The sequence below is a fragment of the Homo sapiens genome, chromosome 1, assembly GCF_000001405.40.
Source record: "Homo sapiens chromosome 1, GRCh38.p14 Primary Assembly".
NCBI classification, from domain to species: Eukaryota; Metazoa; Chordata; class Mammalia; order Primates; family Hominidae; genus Homo; species Homo sapiens.
In genome coordinates, this window is record NC_000001.11 from 119580992 (window position 1) to 119599397 (window position 18406).

At 42.9% G+C, this 18406-nt stretch overlaps 1 long non-coding RNA gene and 1 pseudogene across 1 annotated transcript; both read right to left on the reverse strand.

Moving 5' to 3' along the window:
- GAPDHP33 (glyceraldehyde 3 phosphate dehydrogenase pseudogene 33) lies at positions 14974-16259 on the reverse strand (annotated as a pseudogene).
- LINC00622 (long intergenic non-protein coding RNA 622) lies at positions 16711-18300 on the reverse strand. The gene has a single exon (NR_036540.1). It is a non-coding gene; the product is annotated as a long intergenic non-protein coding RNA 622 (long non-coding RNA).
- Positions 18301-18406: the final 106 nt, after the last annotated feature.

Consider the following 18406-nt stretch of genomic DNA (forward strand, 5'->3'; position numbering starts at 1 on the left):
GGGAAAAGCCACAGGAGCCAGTGGAGCTTGAATGAGGCCTTGAATTCCTCAGTCCAAGCAATGGGCACAGCCCGAGCAGTGGTGCAGAGGAGGATGGAGGGGCATGAGGAGGACCTCTGCTTTCTGGAAAGCATGTACAGAGCGCAGATGAGAGAGCTCGGGTGCCAGACTAAGCCACAGACTAGATAGGCAGATTCCAAGGGCCAGGGTGGGCCCCAGAGCCTGTGATGGACTGGTGAGAACTGGCAGGAAAGTGACAAGAGGCCAACTCTTATGATGTGAAATCCCATGATTTCCAAATATTAGTGACTAACTCTAAACTTGAAAAAGCAGTGTGAAGATCTGCTCCAGGAGAGGGATGTGTGGGCTAGTGTTCCAACTGTATGTGCAATAATTTATATCTTAAAAAGTGGGTGGTGAGGTGTCAGCAGCAAATCTATTCATTCTTGGCGATAAGTCCCAAATATACATTATTATATCATACTCTCAGCTTTCCTGTATGTTTAACATAGGTTATAATTTTTTAATAAATTAAATTTGGTGGGGAACAAATATGCAAACTAAGAAAACACACTCACAGCCTGGCCCCAGGATTAAGGCCTCTGATTTTCCACTTCTGCTCCCAGTCTAGTGGTCCAGTGCGGGAGATAAAATAGGAGACGTGTTAGGTGCAGTGCACAGTAAATGTGAAGAGTGCCATAAGAAAGGAAAATGCTTCCGGGAGATCCATTCCCATAGGGGATTCATGGGGTCCTTGCATTTGGGCTAAATATCAGAAGATGGGTAGGATTTCAACAGACAGGAATGTGAGGGAAAGTATTCCAGGTGGAGACAATGGAGTCTGCAAAGACCCAAGTGGGAAAGGGGTCACTTTTAGGGAACAATGAGACCAGACCAGAGAGCACCACGCCAGGGAGAAATGGAAGATACACCTGGAAAGACATGATGGGCACACACAGGATCACCCGGGGCCACCCCTGGAGACACCCTGCCTCCTTCCTTCATTGACCTCAGAGTAGGAGTTCTGTGTCCCCATTAAAGATGACTTGGGCCGGGCACGGTGGCTCACGCCTGTAATCCTAGCAGTTTGCAATGCTGAGGTAGATGGATCACCTGAGGTCAGGAGTTCGAGACCAGCCTGGCCAACATGGCAAAAGCCTGTCTCCACTAAAAATACAAAAAAGTTAGGGGGCATGATGTTGGTGCCTGTAATCCCAGCTACTTGGGAGGCTGAGGCAGAATTGTTTGAACTCAGGAGGCAGAGGTTGCAGTGAGCTGAGATCACACCATTGTACTCCAGCCTGGGAGACAGAGCAGGACTCTGTCTCAAAAAAATAAGATAAATAAGTAAATAAATAAGTAAAACAAAGAAACAAACAAACAAAAACAACAAAAAAACCCGACGACATTCAATTACTTCACACATACTACATGCCTCATGTTCTCTCAAAAATTGGAATCTATGGGAAAAGAATGTCTCCTCCAGCAATGAATATTGATGGTGATGCTAAAAGCTGGGACGTCATTCACTCTGCAATGGGAATTGTTCAGCTGTCCCTGGAAGATTACCTTGGCAGCATGTCGTAGGATGGACTGAAAGAGATGAAGAGGATACTTCAAGATCTAGGTAAGAAATGAAGGCCTGATTTATGTGTTGGTAACAAAATGGAATACAGGGGCAAATGAGGCAGGCCTGAGGCAGAATGGCCACTAGTTTAGACAGGACTGGGTGTGGGCACAGAACTCTCATGCACCCACTTTTTCAAGACAGAAACCTGGACAGCAGCCCCCCACTCTTCCCACCTATCATTTAGTGCTACCAACTTTACCTCCACAACACCTCTTGAATGTGTCCTCTTCCTCCCTGGTAACATCATTCCTACTTGTACCTGCCACAGGCCTCCCTGTCTTGGAGAGTCACTCATGAAACCTATCCTTAGCAGTGTTGCCAGAGTTGTCTCTCCAAACTAGTCTCACCACGTCATGCCCTTCCTTAAAACCAACCACTGGGTGGAGCCCCAGGACTGTCAGGAGGAGCCTGAGAGCCTTAACATAACATAGAGGGCCTCTGAAGCCCTGGGCCCTGCCTAACACCCCAGACTAATTCTCACCAATCCCTGCCCTGTTCCCAGATTCTCCTACTTTGTGCCTCAACAATTTTCAAAAACTCAGGGCTTCCTGCTTGCAGCATGCTTTTACATCTACCTAGGCCAGTGCACGGCATTCCTTCTGCTTAGAGGGTGCCCAGCTCTCCTGCCAGCACATCCTTCCCAGCTCCTTATTCACCATCCAAAGCATCTCTTTTATAGCCTCTGTGCTTTGTGCATATCTAGTTGCACTGCCATTAATTTTTTATTTATATATCCTGTCCCCCACCCCTACACTGCCATGTCCTGAGGACAGTAACTCACCATGTCATCTCTCTGTCCCCAGTGACTGACACAAAATAGACACATGGGCTGATGGAGAGATAGATGGATGCACGGATAGAAAGATGAAACACCAACAAACTCAAATGTTAGGACGGAGAGAGGAGGGGATGGGGAGTCAGGGAGCACAATGCTTTCAATGACAAAGCAAGAGAGAATTCAAAGACAAATTTTCAGGGTGTCAATGAACCTGAAGAAGCTCGATCATCATGATGAGAGCTGGAAAAGAGATAAGCCACATAGTGGGTATGGTGCTGAGAATGAACTCATTTGTGTGATAGAAAGAGAGAGTGGGGTTGTGAGAGGCCCATGAGCAGGGAAAGGGAAAGGCTGTTGAAGGCGAAGCCCAGCTGCCAAGGTTATAAAGGGACTGGGAATTGGATCCAAAACCTGAAATGGTGCAAGGCCCAGAGCATTTTTATACTACAAAAAAAAGGAAAAACTGCTTTTGAAAAATGAATTCAGAAGAGAATCTCCCACTCTTAGTTGACTCAAGTGAGGACCACGCAACCTCTCTGTCTACATGTGCTTCTTAAGACATCAGGGGACTCTGGTGGAAAATTGAGGGGCGTTCTTTTTCTTTATCTTGGCCCAAGATCCCACCCAATGGTAATGAGCAGGGAATGGAGTCGGTGATCTGAGGCATGAAAGAGGTTCATTATGAGGAAGTGGAGAGGGAAGGCTGGATGAAAAGAAAGTGGCTTAGCCACTCTGTCCCCAAAGGCAGGGAGCACTGAGGTCAGTTGCAGACTCCAAAACAGTCAGTAATCTGTTCTGGAAACCTGAAGTTCCTTATTGAAGAGCGCAATCTTTCCTCAAGAAATGGAAGAACCAGCACTGATGCAGTCAGCCCTTCTTCCAAAACAGGTACTGGCGACAGAGAGGTGGGCGTGATATGGGTTCCGGGCCTATTGTCATCTTAGCATGAACGCTGGCCACTAAAGTAGGAATACCCTTCTCATGAGCCTGGCACTAACTCCCTCCTGCACTAGCTGGAGTCTGTCAAATCCCTGGTGTAGCTCTGAGCAGAGCAGCTCTCTGGGCACAAGGCCGGTGAGGTCACCCAGGGCCTGTGCTTGGCTTAAGGGGCTGCCATGGGACCCCACATTTCATTTTGCACTGATCCCTGTAAAATACACAGGCAGTCCTGACTGAGAGAACTTCTTTCAGCAGCAGGCAAAACACCTATTGCTGACCTAGCATGGTTAAATAGAAAAGGCTTCCTGACTCCTACAGGACAGATCAATGTCTTTGTGGAGTTCAGATTTTAGAGCAAAGAAAGTTTCATCAGGCATGGTAGGGCACACCTGTATTCCCAGCTACTGGGAGGCTGAGGGGAAAGATCACTTGAATCCAGGAATTCAACATCAGACAAGACTTCATCTCTAAAATTTTTATTAAATTGAAGTTAAAGAGGGATCTAGAGACCATTACTCCAGCTTTTAACTGTGGGTTCCTTTCCTGCTTTCATTTTACTGATGAGAAAACTGAGGCCTGGGAAGTGAGATGACCTTTCCAACGTTCACTTAGACAACTGTCTGTAATGGTGACCAATGATTTGCTACCTTTGAGGTAAAATATTTATTAAGGGAAAAAAAACTGGGATGAGAGACATTTGGAAACAGGGCAGAGGGTAGGTTTAATGAGAAGTCTGCTGTCTAAACCATCTATCTTGCCTATATAACCCAACCTCTCATCTGAACATCAGCTTGTGGACGTGGATGTTGCATAAATGGAGACAGGCAGGTGCTTCATGGTAAAGAAATGAAAGTAGTTGGGGGTGAGAGGGACTAAGGAAAGGGGTCAAGGAGGGCAAAAAACAAGCGAGTATTCTTTTGTTTTAGAAGAAGAATATTTTTGCAAATAAGAGTGAAGAGTGAAAATCCTGGGTTCTGATTTCAATTTTGTCATCGAAGTTAAGCAAATCTCTTCACCTTCCTGGGTCTGTTTTCTTTCCTACAAAATGAAGGTTATGGCTCATTTCTAAGGTCTTTTGCCAGTGACATTGGGCTGCAAAAGTGTAAGATGATTTGCATCCTCTGGCACCTGCACACTTCTGCCACTAAACTTCGTAATAACATAAGCCTCCTTGTGCTTATTTGTTTGTGTGAAGCCAAAGCTATTTGAGAAAGTGGTTTCCCAGTCATTCGTGGCTCTAGTGGCACATGGCACCTCACTGGAAAAGGGGCGTCATACCTCTCATAGGGTTGTAAAGGATCAAGAAGTGGGCCAAGTAGGAACCGATTCCCTCCTTCCCTGATATCTGATGACCACTGAACTGCAGAACTTAATGCTGACTTAAATACAGCCTTTTGTTTTGGCATTAAGCTATAGATGTTTCCCAAGAAGGTTTTAAAACTCTTAGACAATCACTAGAAATTAAAATGGGCAGGACCAATAGAGTCAGTGCCTACTGAAAAGGAATCAGAAACCCAGAAAAGTCATGCCTTGCTCAAGTCCACTGCCAGTTAATGCCAAAGCTCTGCCCTGCTCACTCCACACACAGCACACCCTCAAAGGAGGAGCAGAACTAGTTCCTTCTTTCTTCCTGTTCTCAGGAAAGGGAGGCCATGCCTTCTCACTTCCTCTTCACCCTGCCCTAGGAGCTGGAAATCCCAGAGGACAGAGTCCATATGCACTGCAACTGCCTCTCTCCTCCTTCTGGGATCCCAGGAGCTATGATACAAGACTTTAGGATGCCCCTCAGCAGCCCCTTCTCTGCAGCACTGAGCACGACCACCTTGTAACCACCTTGCTTCCTAACATTCACACAAGCCCGTGAATCTTACAAGAGCCTTCATGTTTGTCATTTTGTTTGATTTGATTTTCCCACACCTCATACCTGCATCTTTCCACTGCACAGATGAGAGCAAGATCAAGAATACCTATAGGGCTTGGTCTAGGCTGCAGCAGCATTGAACAGTGGCTGTATCAGTCCAGTGAATCTCAGGCTGTGAAGTCATGTCTGTGATTTCTACCTACTCTATTAACTTCAACACAGAAAGCAGTAGAGCTGCTTCAGGTGAAACCTTGAGGTGACCCTCATTTCAGACATTCACTAATGCTACCCCTAACAAGAGAAATGTCTAGCCAGATACTTTTCCAGCCCCTTGACAAAGTGAATTAGCTTTTCCAAGGTCACACACTGTCCCTTCCCTCACCCAACAAAGCCAGGTACAGTCGACATTGCCTGATTTGCAGCAGTGGTGGAAACTCTGACTTATAGTTGCAAAGTCCTTGGCAGAGAATCTGCTTAACTCTGAGCCTTTGTTGAATGTACCGTCTTGCCCTAGCATAACATGTGAAGCCTTGACATGAAGTTCCCCCCTGTCCACCTCCCATCCCTTGCAGCCCCAGGGGCCAAATCCTTAAAGTCATACATACAGTTGGCAAAATAATTCACCCCAAGCAGGTTGGACAGGCAGGAAACAAAATCAGCCTTCACCTTCGCCCTTAAATGGTGTTGGAATGTGTAAGCATCTCTACCTCTCTCATATCTGTCTCCCCAGCATTGAGCACTATGCCTGGAACATGCCACTCAGCTGAGGGGTGAACTTCTCAGGGTCTCTGCTCTTAATGAGTCACAGCCTTGGGGTCTGGGGAAGGCCAGTCATACACAGATGGTATCAGAACACCCAGGCAGAACCACTCCCTACTTCAGCCCTTGATGCTTTCAGAAAAGCATCTCAGTGGAGTGTCTTCAGTGAATAAAAAGAATGCATGGAACTGCTTCCAGTGATTCCCTAGTCTCTAGAAACAGGGGCCTGTCAATTCTTTCACTTGTGTTGAACATCTTCAACACATCTGGAATGCCAGCTTGAACACCGCACAAACACTGATACCTTTTTCAAACTTCTTAAACAGAGGGAAACATGGTATATGGAACAACTTGCCACCCACCTCACTGGCTTCCAAAGCTAAGCAATCCCGGCTGCCGGATTGAGGTAGGGCACCCACTGGATGCAGAGAGCACTGAGAAAATGGCCTGGATCTCATGGCAGCAGCTGGAAATTGAAACCCATTGGAATGTGCTTTGGGTTAGTGAACATGACCTTGAAACCACAGTCTGGCAGCAGAAAACTGCAGGGCACTTGTGGCTGTGACAATGAGACCGAGGAGCAAAGACTAGACAATTCATGCTGGAGACTGGCCAAGTATGCTCCTCCCCTCCCACCAGGGGCAGAGAGGATGGAAATTATGTGATTGCCAAGGGCAGCTGAGAAAACAAGTCATGCCTGGGGTTTTGCTTTGTTAAGAGAGCTGAGTTGGGGGAATAAAGATCTGAGAGAAGCAGAAGAAGGCTGACTCTGAGTGGTGAAGACGGTGAAGGCCAGCAGCAGCCTTCCACACCTATTCCATTGTCATCTGATGGACAGCCAAGACAGGCACTTTTCCTGGCTCTTACTTATGATATTGTCTTCACTATTTGGAGCAGTTGTGTGAAAGGTGGCCTACCAGGAGCAGACAAAGCCTGATGTACCTTGCACTGCCCTTTGCCTCCATAATTCTGGTGAAGGAGAGGATTTGAGCCTTATGTATTATACTTACTGTAATCCCCAAGAAAGAAAGGGGGTCCCTAATTGGTCCTAAAGAGTTCTCACCCTCTTTGCCCATTAAAATCACCCAGGGAGTTTCTACAAAATTACAGGTACTTAGGCCTCATTTCAAGTAAGTGCTCTCTACATTTAAAAGACAAACAGAAAAGCTCTCCAAGGTTAAGAAAATCTATTGCTTAAACTAATCAAACCTCAAAAATTCCATGGCAATCAGGTACAGTTTCTTTAATTGGAATGTGGGCAGAGGCTCACTCACATCAAAGATAGAGATAGTTGAGCATGAAGGTTCACGACTATAGTCTCAGCACTCTGGGTGGCCGAGCAGGAGGATCACTGGAGCCTAGGATTTGAAGACCACCCTGGGCAACATAGGGAGACCCCATCTCTACAGAATTAAAAATTTGTTAAAAGTCTAGCCAGGCATGGTGGTGCATACCTGTGGTCCTAGACACTCCCGAGACTGAGGTAGGAGAATCTCTTGGGCTGGGAAGTTGAAGATCGCACCACTGCACAACAGTACTCTGGGTAACAGAGCAAGACCCTGCCTCATAAAAACAAACAAAAAAAGAAGGTTAGAGAAAAAAAAGTCTCTCTCTAAATGAATAGCTTCAGCATTGGCTTTTCCAATGTCTCTCTTGCTGCTTACCAAACTGTGTTCTCCATATAACAGCCTGAGAGATTTTTTAAAGTAAACTCAAATCCTATGTCTCACCTATATAAAACCTTTCTGGGGCTTCCCATTCCATTTACTATAGACTCTAAACTGATCTCCAGCTCTCCCGGGCACCACATGATCTGCTCATCCTTCCAACTCGTGTCCTCATCACTCTCTCTTTTACTCACAGTGTCCCAGCCAGATTGGCCTCCCTTCAATTCCATAAACACGCAAGACTTTCTTGCCTCCGGATCTTCACATCTATCATTCCGTTTACATAAAATGATGTTCCTCATCTTCTAATGGTTGGCTCTCTATTGACATGTAGATCTCAGCTGAATTGTCATTGCCCTAATGAGTTGAAACATCCCTGACCATCCTCTCCCAAAAACAATCTGCTTCACTCGTCACATCACACTGTTTCTCCCCTCCTAGCTGTTACCACAACCTGCAACTAACTTATCAGTTGTCTATTTTGTTGTTTATCTGTACCTGCATAGGGACCTTAGACCATCTTGCTTCCTGCTACATTCCCAAGAGCCTAGAATCATGTCCAATGTCATAGAGGGCCCCATAAATATTTATTAAATAACCGAAGGCAAAGCTGGATCAAAATACATCATCACATCTGGAGAATTATAGCAGTCAGAGGAGGAAAACAGTGAGTTAGGATGGAAGCCAGCAGAATGGGTCACTACCTAAACCAACAGACGTGAAAAGTCTTCTATCATTCCTTGACTGGACACTTTCCTGCATGAACCCACGCCACAGTGCAGGTTCACTTTTGCCCAGATTAACCCCCAGAGTCAAGGGCTGGGTCAAGGAAACATTTGCATGGAACACTCCAAAAGAGAAACAGTCCCATAGCAGTCTCCCTGGTAATAACTTTTCAGACCTATTTGCTTAACCAAAATATACATATAGTGCCTTCACCACCCAAATATTTAGAAAGGGAAAATGAAGTATCGTCATATAGCTCTGCTTGCCTATAACTGCAATTCAGATCCCAAAATTAAAAAGAAGTGAACACCCAACCTTTCAAAACAGCAGTCCCTTTAAATAAAATAGTTCGGGCCGGGCACAGTGGCTCATACCTGTAATCCCAGCACTTTGGGAGACCGAGGCGGGCAGATCACAAGGTCAGGAGATCGAGACCATCCTGTGAATGGTGAAAACCTGTCTCTACTAAAAATACAAAAAATTAGCCAGGCATGGTGGCGGGTGCCTGTAGTCCCAGCCACTCAGGAGACTGAGGTGGGAGAATGGCATGAACCCAGGAGGAGGAGCTTGCAGTGAGCTGAGATTGCGCCACTGCACTCCAGCCCAGGTGACAGAGTGAGACTCAGTCTCAAAAAAATAATAATAATAAAATAAAATAAAATAAAAATAGTTCGTTAATTGTATGACTCAAAGAATTCCCATTGATTCTTCTCAGAACAAAAGATCTTAATAGGGCAGATCAGTAACGACTGAAACAGCCAGTAGCTTATAATTTTTTGCACATACTGTCCAAAACTATGGAACTTTGCACTCTGGACAGAAGAGCTATACCTATAAAAATTTCCCAACAGAAATCATACTCTCTATCTATGAAACAGTGCAGCAAAGTTAAATCAGTTGAAAGGAAAAAAACCACGTGTCATTAGAATACTTGGAAGAGTAGTGGATACTTTGGAGAATTGTGGTCATTGAAGAGAAGCACAGAAGGTTAAATCGGATGAAATTTTATTGGGTTGGTAAAAAGAAAAGGGAAATTGACCATGCTCCCAGAGTGAGGCCTTAACTTTTTATTTAGGTGTCAAATTGGCTGCTGCACTGGTGGGCTGATAATTTGAGGCCAAGGAGGGGCCTTTAATCCAGCAGCAAGGATGGAGTGCTTGTGCTGAAAGTTTAGGGAAATACTAAGAAAGCACATGTCTAGGGGTGACTGTCTGGCTGACACAGCAGTCACAGTTGCATTGTGGAACAGGATGCCTAGATGACCACAGGCCTTGAAGATTACTTTCAACACCCTGATTTGAGTGACTTGTAAAAAATGGAAGTGTCATGATTTAGTCTATTTGTGCTAGTACAACAAAATATATCAGATTAGAAAATGTACAAACAACAGAAACTTATTTCTCATGTTCCAGATGCCAGGAAGTGCATGATCAATGTGTCTGCAGGTTCCATGTCTGGTGGGAGCTCAGTGTCTCCTTCCAAGACAGCATCTTGTTGCTGCATTGCCTGTGTCCTCATGTGGCAGAAGAATGGAAAGGGTCAGCTAGTTTCCTCAAGCCCTTTTATGAGGTCACTAATCCCATTCACAAGGGCCCTGTCCTCATATACCAATCACTTCCTAAAGGCCCCAATTCTGAACACTATCACATTGGCAATTAAGTTTCAACATATGAATTTGGAAGGAACACATTCAGACCATACAATTTCACAAGATCAAGAAGGAATACAGGACAAAGGTGAATTTGGTATAGCCTAACTCATGCACTGCTGCAAGGGACTTTGGGAATATTTTTTACTTTGAGTCAGAGGGCAAAAACCAGAGACAAGAAAGAACAGAGGAGCAAAGGAAAGCCTAAAATATTCATTGTCATGACCTAGGATGTTACAGGATTTTGTGGCACACGGACTGATGTCTATTCTGTGCAATTCACTGACCTCCAAGAAAAGTAGCAGAAAGAGAGTTTTCAGATAAGAGTTTCAGGGACCCTGGAAACAAGTTAATATTAACTAGCCCAGTTCTTCACCAGGAAATGAGAAAGGAGATATCTTTATTTTGGTCATATTGGATAGTTTTAGTAGATACTTGGAGACTTTCTCAATAAAGTACTACAGAGCTAAATGAATGACAGTGATTAATGTCTAAGAAATTGTCTCTTACTCAGGGGTCTTCAAGAACACGGCCTCAGACAGTGGGCAGACTCATGAGACAGCTGTCCCACCAGGCACATCCCACAGCAAATGACCAAATCTAGGCAGACTTTGCTCTCCTCTGGCCTGTTCCCCAACCCTAATAGCCTTGTCATCCATCAAGAGTCAGCCTCATGGACAGTGGGACTTGGTATGCTTTCTTGAAGTGTACTCTCTGGAATTTCACTTCCAGATCGTAGAACTGTTCTGTAGATACCACCTTTCTCAGCCCCCTTCTATTTGTGTTAAGTTTATAATTGTAGTCTCATGATTCTCCTCACATCAGAAAAAGATAAGAACATTTTAGTGCTAAATTGTTCCTTGTGGATAAGTAAATAAATAAATAAATCCTTGAAGGTAAGACTTGAAATCAGAGAAAACATAAGATCCAAACACCCAATCACGGTCTTGTAAATCAATTTTTTTTCATGCTTTTATGCTGGTTAGTGATCAAGTTGCAAAATTTCCCAAAGTTGCCTTTATCACAGGCACTTCAATGCAAGCGTAGTGGCCAGCTTAAGGTCATCTCTTCGACCCTGAAATCACCAGCTGAAGACTTGTGGGAGTCAATAGAGATTGGTTTGGGGTAAGAGTAAAACAAATCACATGAGCATATGGTATTAAAGCAATTTGGTATACAGACAACGACATTAGCTTACTTTACAAGAAAAGGTAGTAGAAGCTCTCTTTGTATGCATCTACCTGGTGATAACTGTGCTCCTGGACACAAATGTGTGTAATTTTTTAAGTTGCATCTGGCTCAGGGGCTACATCAAAAATTCCAAGGGAAATGAGCAAGAATCTTATCAAGATACTACCAAAAGGCTGTTCTCCATTGCTTAGAAATATGGGAAAAGGAATGTCCACAGTAAACTGAAGAGATGCATACGAAATCTCAGAAGGAATCTCTTAACTCCTAAAAATGTCTTACACGTGGAATGCAATCTGATACAAATATAGGCAACAGACATGAACAGACACCCACCAAATAAGATATATAAATTATAAGAAAGCGTATGAAAAGATACTCAACATCATATGTCATTAGAGAATTGCAACCTAACACAAAAATGAGATACCACTGCACACCCATTAGAATGGTGAAAATCCTTAACACTGACAACTAATGCTAGCAAGAATGTGGAGCATCAGGAATGCTCATCCATTGCTGGTGGGGATGCAAAATGGTACCGACACTTGTAAGGCAGTTTGACAGTTTCTTATAAAACTAAACATATTCTTACCATATAATCCAGCAATTATGCTTCACTGTATTTACACAAATAAATTGGAAACTTACATCCACACAAAAACCTACTTCTAGGTTAGATCTTTATAGCAGTTTTATTCATGATTATCAAAACCTGGAAGCAGCCAATTTGTCCTTCAATAGTTCAATGGATAATGAAATATTATTCAGTGCTAAAAGAAAAAAAAGTGCTATCAAGCCATGAAAAGACATGGAGGAAGCTTAAATGTATATTACTAAATGCAAGAAGTCGACATGAACAGGCTACATACAGTGTGATTCCAACTATCTGACCCTGTCAGAGTCAGGGTGCACAGAGGGATTGACAGACAGAAGCAGATTTTTAGGGCAGATGACACTAAAATGGTGGTTATATATCAGAATACATTGGTCAAAACTAAGAATGTGCAAGACCAAGAGTAAACTGTGAACTTTGAGTGATAAAGATGTGTCAATGCAGATCAATGATTGTAATAAATGTACCATGTGGTGCAGAATGGTGATAGATGGGGAGTCTGTGTATGTGTGGGAGTGGGAGTATATGAGAACTGTCTGCACTTGCCCTCAACTTTGTTGTGAAGCTAAAACTATCATAGAAAATAAAGTCCATTTTAAAAACTAAATGAGATAACATACGTAAAGCACCTGATACATAGTAAAGGGCTCAATTAATATATTAGAGCTCATATGCAGAGCTTTCTTTGTGCAAGGAGATGTGCCATATGACATCTTGGTCTGATTTCAACTGATTATTCCTTAAAATAAATATCTGGAGTGGACTCGTATGGATGGGTCAAGTGTGTGAAAATTTAAAATATTTTGTCAGATACTCACCAGAAATTTGCATAAACTTACACTTCCACGGATAACACACCTGTCTCCCCACATCTTCACCAACACTTAGTAACTTCAGTGAATCTAATATTTGCTAAACCACTTGTGGTTTTCAAACTGAGTTTAATGAAGGGCTAATGTTCTTTGTAATGCAAGAGAAATCCCCAAGAAAAGAAAGCAGCTTGTTAAAAATATGTCAGTCTACCTATTTTCTTCTTAAACATTGGAGTTCCAAGAGCTCTTGACTTGACTGGCACAAAGTTCCAGTTTCATCTGAGGACTCAACTGGGGAAATATCTACTTTCAAGCTCACTTTCATAGTTGTTGGAAAATTCACTTCCTCGAAGCATATTGGACTGGGAACCTCAGTTCCCCTTTGACTGTTGGCTGCCCTCAGTTCATTACTATATTGTCCTGTCCAGCATGGCAGGTTGCTTCATCCAGCCCAATGAGAAAGAGGAAGTGTAAAACAAGATGGAAGTCACAATCTTTTCTAACCTAATCATGGAAGTAATATTCCATCATTTTGGTCCAATTATACTGATTAAAAGCAAGTTACTAGGTTCAGCACACACACAAGGGAATGAATACCAGGAAGCAGAGATCACTGGATTCAACTTAGAGGCTGGCTACCATACCATCATTGTCAGACTCCAGAGGAAATGGTTGAGTGACATCTATGTGATCTCCCCCAAAAATAACTGACAAACAGAATTCAGTAAGAAATAAAAAAGACATTTTGCTAAAGCCTCCTCCTTTCTCACTTTGAAGGTCTTGCCTGGAAAGACAGCCAAGTTGAGCTCATATAACCCAAAAGCTCTGGCCCTAGTTCTCCCTGTATGGTGGAGGGGATGGCCCATTGTTCTTTACTTCTGAAAACTGGCTCTTCAAGTACACTTCAAATACCTAGGATCCTACTCATATCCGTGCTATAGATGAGAAGAAAATTGCTTCTCCTTGGCAAACAGCTTTGGCCTGGGCAATGATTCCAGCCTCTCATTACTATGGGAAACTTTCTAGTATTTTCATTTTTGTGGTCACTGTTCTCTTCTATTTCCTTCTTTGTATTAGTCTATAAGCACTAACTTTCAGAAGCACTAAGACATTCTAGAGTCTTGATTGTTCACTCATCCTTCCATTTCTTTATTCAATAAGCATGTATTAAGTTCCTATGATGTGTCAGATGTTGTGCAAATTCTTATGGTAATAAAACGATGTATGAGACATAAACACTTTATTTAGTCAAACACTCAACAATGTTTGAACATTTGCTCTGTACAAGGTGCTAAGGATCAATAAAGGAGTAGTCCAGTTTAAGACAACACAACAAAAACAAACTCTTCACTCCACTGGCTGTAACACCTTTTTACTGAGATCTTCATGGCACAACTTCTTGAACAGGTGTTGTTTTTAAGAGTCGCTCTCTTCACATTTTTCTTCTATTCCTCAACACACAAATGAATTGTGTGTTGGACTTTCCAGTTGAACTTTCAACCCAACTATTTGTGGAAATTGCTCTTACCAAATTACTTACAATGTTGCCAAAATCAATAATCAATTATTTTCCTATTGCATTTGATCAGCAGCATCCAACATAGTGAACCAAACTCTTCTTGAAACACTTTCTTCAACTTGACTTTTACAAGGCCATCTCCTTGTAATTTTTCTCCCTCCTGCCACCAACTCCTACTCAGCATATTTAGCTGGCCCCTCCTTCTCTGTTCAACTTGTAAATATTGATATGTGTATTCCAGGATTCAGTCCGGAAACTTTCCCTATTATCCATGAATATTCTTATAACTTATTTCGTCTAGTCATGTGCCTTTAAAACTTATTCTATGCTACTCATGACCTCTCTAGGACTCAAGCACAAGGGGTGTAATTATCCTAAAATAAGCCAGGAGTTTAGTAAGCTGGCCAAGAAGAGGGATTTTCCTTTTCCCAGCATGAGAGACTGTGCCTAGTACAGCTCCCTGCAAAATGGGTGGCTTTCTCCCCTAAAAAAAGGGAAACCCTTTGCATGAGCCCCAAGGACTCTAGATGCTAGGCAGGTGATTTTTCCAGACAATCTTGTGAACATCTGGAACCTAAATCTAGACTGTTTCACACCAACAGCCTGTGTGTTCCTCCACTGATAAAGCTGTATCCTTGTGCTCACATGATAAAAAATTATAACAAGGGAGACTATTGTTCCTACACTGGAATGCAGACTCCCATTGTGAGCCCAGCATTTCCTGACCATTTATGCATCAGTATTAAATAGGAGGATGGAGAAATCATGCTGTCTATTTTTTTGCTGATCAGTAATCTTTGTGAGCTTTCCTAATACCGCTTTTTTTTTTCTGAGCATAGACAGGGGACTTTATTGGTGGTACACGACAAGGTGGGGTTCCCTAGGCCCCTCCCTCTTCAGGGGGTCTGCATGGAAACTGCATGGAGGGGAGAATCTCAGTGTGGTGGGGGACTGAGTGTGGCAGGGACTCCCCAGCAGCTGAGGGCCTCTCTTTTCCTCTCATGCTCTCGCGGGGCTGGTGGCCCAGAGGTCTTACTCCTTGGAGGCTATGTGAGCCATGAGGTTCACCATCCTGTTGCTGTACCCAAATTCATTATCATATGAGAAAATGAGCTTAACAAAGTGGTCACTGAGGGCAATGCCAGTCCCAGGATTGAAGGTGGAAGAGTGGGTGTCAATGGTTAAGCTGGAGGAGGCAACCTGGTTCTCAGTGTTGCACAGGATGCCCTTATGGGGGCCTTCTGATGCTGCTTCACCACCTGCTTGATGTTATCATATTTGGCATGCTTTTCCTGAGGGCAGGTCAGGTTCATGACCAACATGTTCGTGGTGGGGACCTGGAATGCCATGCTAGTGATCTTCCCATGCAGCTCATTGATATACTTGCCCACAGCCTTGAGAGTGCCAGTAGATGCAAGGATGATGTTCCTTTGAGCCCTGCAGCTGTCATGCCACAGTTTCACAGAGGGGCCGTCCACAGTCTTCTGGGTGGCAATCATAGCATTTACTGTGGTCATGAGTCCTTCCACTAAATCGGAGTTGTCATGGATGATCTTGGCCAGAGATGCTAAGCAGTTGGTGGTACAAGAAACACTGTTGATGATCTTGAGGCTGTTGTTATATTTCTCATGGTTCATACCCATCACAAACATGGGGCTGTCAGCAGAGGGGTTAGAGATGATGATCCATTTAACTGGCCCCTACAAATGAGCCACACACTTCTCCATGGTAGTGAAGACGACACTGGAGTCTATGATGTACTTGGTGCCAGCATTGTCCTATTTGATTTTGGTGGGATTTAGCTTTTGGAAGATCGTGGTGGGATTTCCATTGATGACAAGCTTCCTGTTCTCAGCCTTTACGGTGCCATGGAATTCACCACGGGTGGAATCATACTGGAATACATAGACCATGTAGTATGGAATTTGTAGACTATGAAGGGGTCATTGATGGTGACAATATCCACTTTACCAGTTATAAGTAGCCTTGGTAACCAGGCAACCAATGGGGCCAAATCCATTGACTCTGGCCTTCACCCTTACCATGGTGTCTCAGGGATGCGGCTGGCGCTGCACAAGAAGATGCGGCTATCTGTCGAATGGGAGGAGCAGAAAGCTACAGCATATTATTTAACCCATAGTTATCATATTGAGAAATTCTTCACACACTCTGATGTCAATAGGTGGTGACTCGGGTGGGCACCACTTGACATAGCAGGCTGACATTCCCTGAGCATGTGGACAATTCAGTTGTCTCAGTGTCACTTGTTTAAAAGACAATCTTTTTCCCTATTGAATTTGCTATTGTCAAAATCAATTGGCCATATGAATTTAGGCCATTAACCCACACATAGGCAAAACTTCCCTCAAAATAAAATAAAGGCCTAAATTTAAGGGCTAAACTATACACCTCTTAGAAGAAAACATAGATTATTATATTCATGATCTTGAATTAGGCAAAAACCCAACTTTTCCTGGTTAAAAAATAGTTGAAAAATGAAACAGGATCAAAACTAAAAATGTTGGCATTTAAAAGCCACCAATAAGAAAATGAAGAGATAAACCAGAGACTGAGAAAAAAAATTCAAATCATATATTTAATACAGGACTCATATCCAGAATATGAAATACACTTACAACTACGCAACAAAAAGATAAATAACCCAATTTTAAAATAGGCAAAATATTTGAATAACCATTTCATCAAAAAGGTGTAGGAATAGACAATAAAATACATGAAAAGATGGTCAGCATCATCAGTCAGCAGGGACATGCAAATCAAAACTACAGTGAGACACCACTTCTTACCCACTAGAATGCTATAATAAAAAAGGACAGTAACACCTGGGGGAAGTGAAATAATGACGTGGAAAAACTAAAACACTCACGCATTGTTGATGGGACATGCAGTCACGTTGGAAACCAGTTTGGCAGTATCTTAAAATGTTGAAGATATATTTACCATATGACCTAGCACTATCACTTCTAGCTATCTACCCAGAAGAAAAAAACCTATGTCCACACAACACATGAATGTGAATATTCATAGCAACTTTATCCATAATTGTCCATAAAGTAGAAACACTCAAATATGTATCAACTGATAAATGAATAAACTAATGGGAGCTATCCATACAATTTAATAGGATTTGTCCCCTAACAGGATTAAAATATTGATATGTGCTGCCACATACATGAACCATAAAAGTATATTAAAGTAAATGAAAGAAGACAGATACAAAAGACCACATATTGCATGATTTCATTTATATGGTCTCCAGAAAAGGCAAATCTGTAGAGTCAGAAAGTCAATTAGAGGTTGCCTGGAGCTGGGGACTGGGAAAAAGTGGTGGTGACTGATGAACATAGGGGATTTCTTAGGAATGATAGAAATGTTGCAAAACAGGATCATGGTGATGGTCACACAAGTCTAAAATTTTACTGAAAATAATTTAACTGCACACTTAAAACAAGCGAATGTTATGTCAATTATACCTCAGTAAAGCTGTTTAAAAACAAAAGAAATTTAGTAGTGTGGCCCCCATCAGTCTTGCCCTTTGTTTAATTTCTCACTTTCTTTAGGGCTTTTATTTATCGGTTCCACTCAGAGACTCCAAGAGACACTGGCTGAAATCTATCAGCCTCCAGAACTCTCAACAGCATAGGGAATGTCTGGCCCCATCCGAAAGGTGATGGGATCTGTAAGGTGCACTCTAGCATGTGCTATAGCAGGCAAAGGTGTGTGATGCACCTGGGTGGTTCAGATAGTGCTCCACATGTCTCAGCAAGACCCAGGGCCTGTAGCTATCGGAGAACAAGCTGCTACATCTTGCAGCACAGGGCCAACCTTTTCTAGGCAAGTGGGTTTGAAGCATTGGTAGTCAGGTCCCAAGTAGCAGTTGAATGTTTTCAACATGGGAGGAGGGCAAGACCTAGAGTGGGGTTTCAAAGCAAATCATTTGTAGAATATTACTTCCAACAACTGCAGAAAGCATTCGTTTCAAGTGTTTATGGGATGTTCACCAACACAGACCTTTTGCTGCACCATAAAACAAGTCTCAATATATACACAAGGATCAAAATCATACAGAGTATATGCTATGGCCACAGTAGTATTTAATTAGAAATTCAAAACAATAAGATATCTAGAAGATTCCCAATTTCAGAAAACAAGCTACATACTCTGTTGGTATCGGTCACTTGGGTCAAAGACGAACTCACAAGAAAAAATTCAAAACATCATTAACTGAGTGATGATAACCCG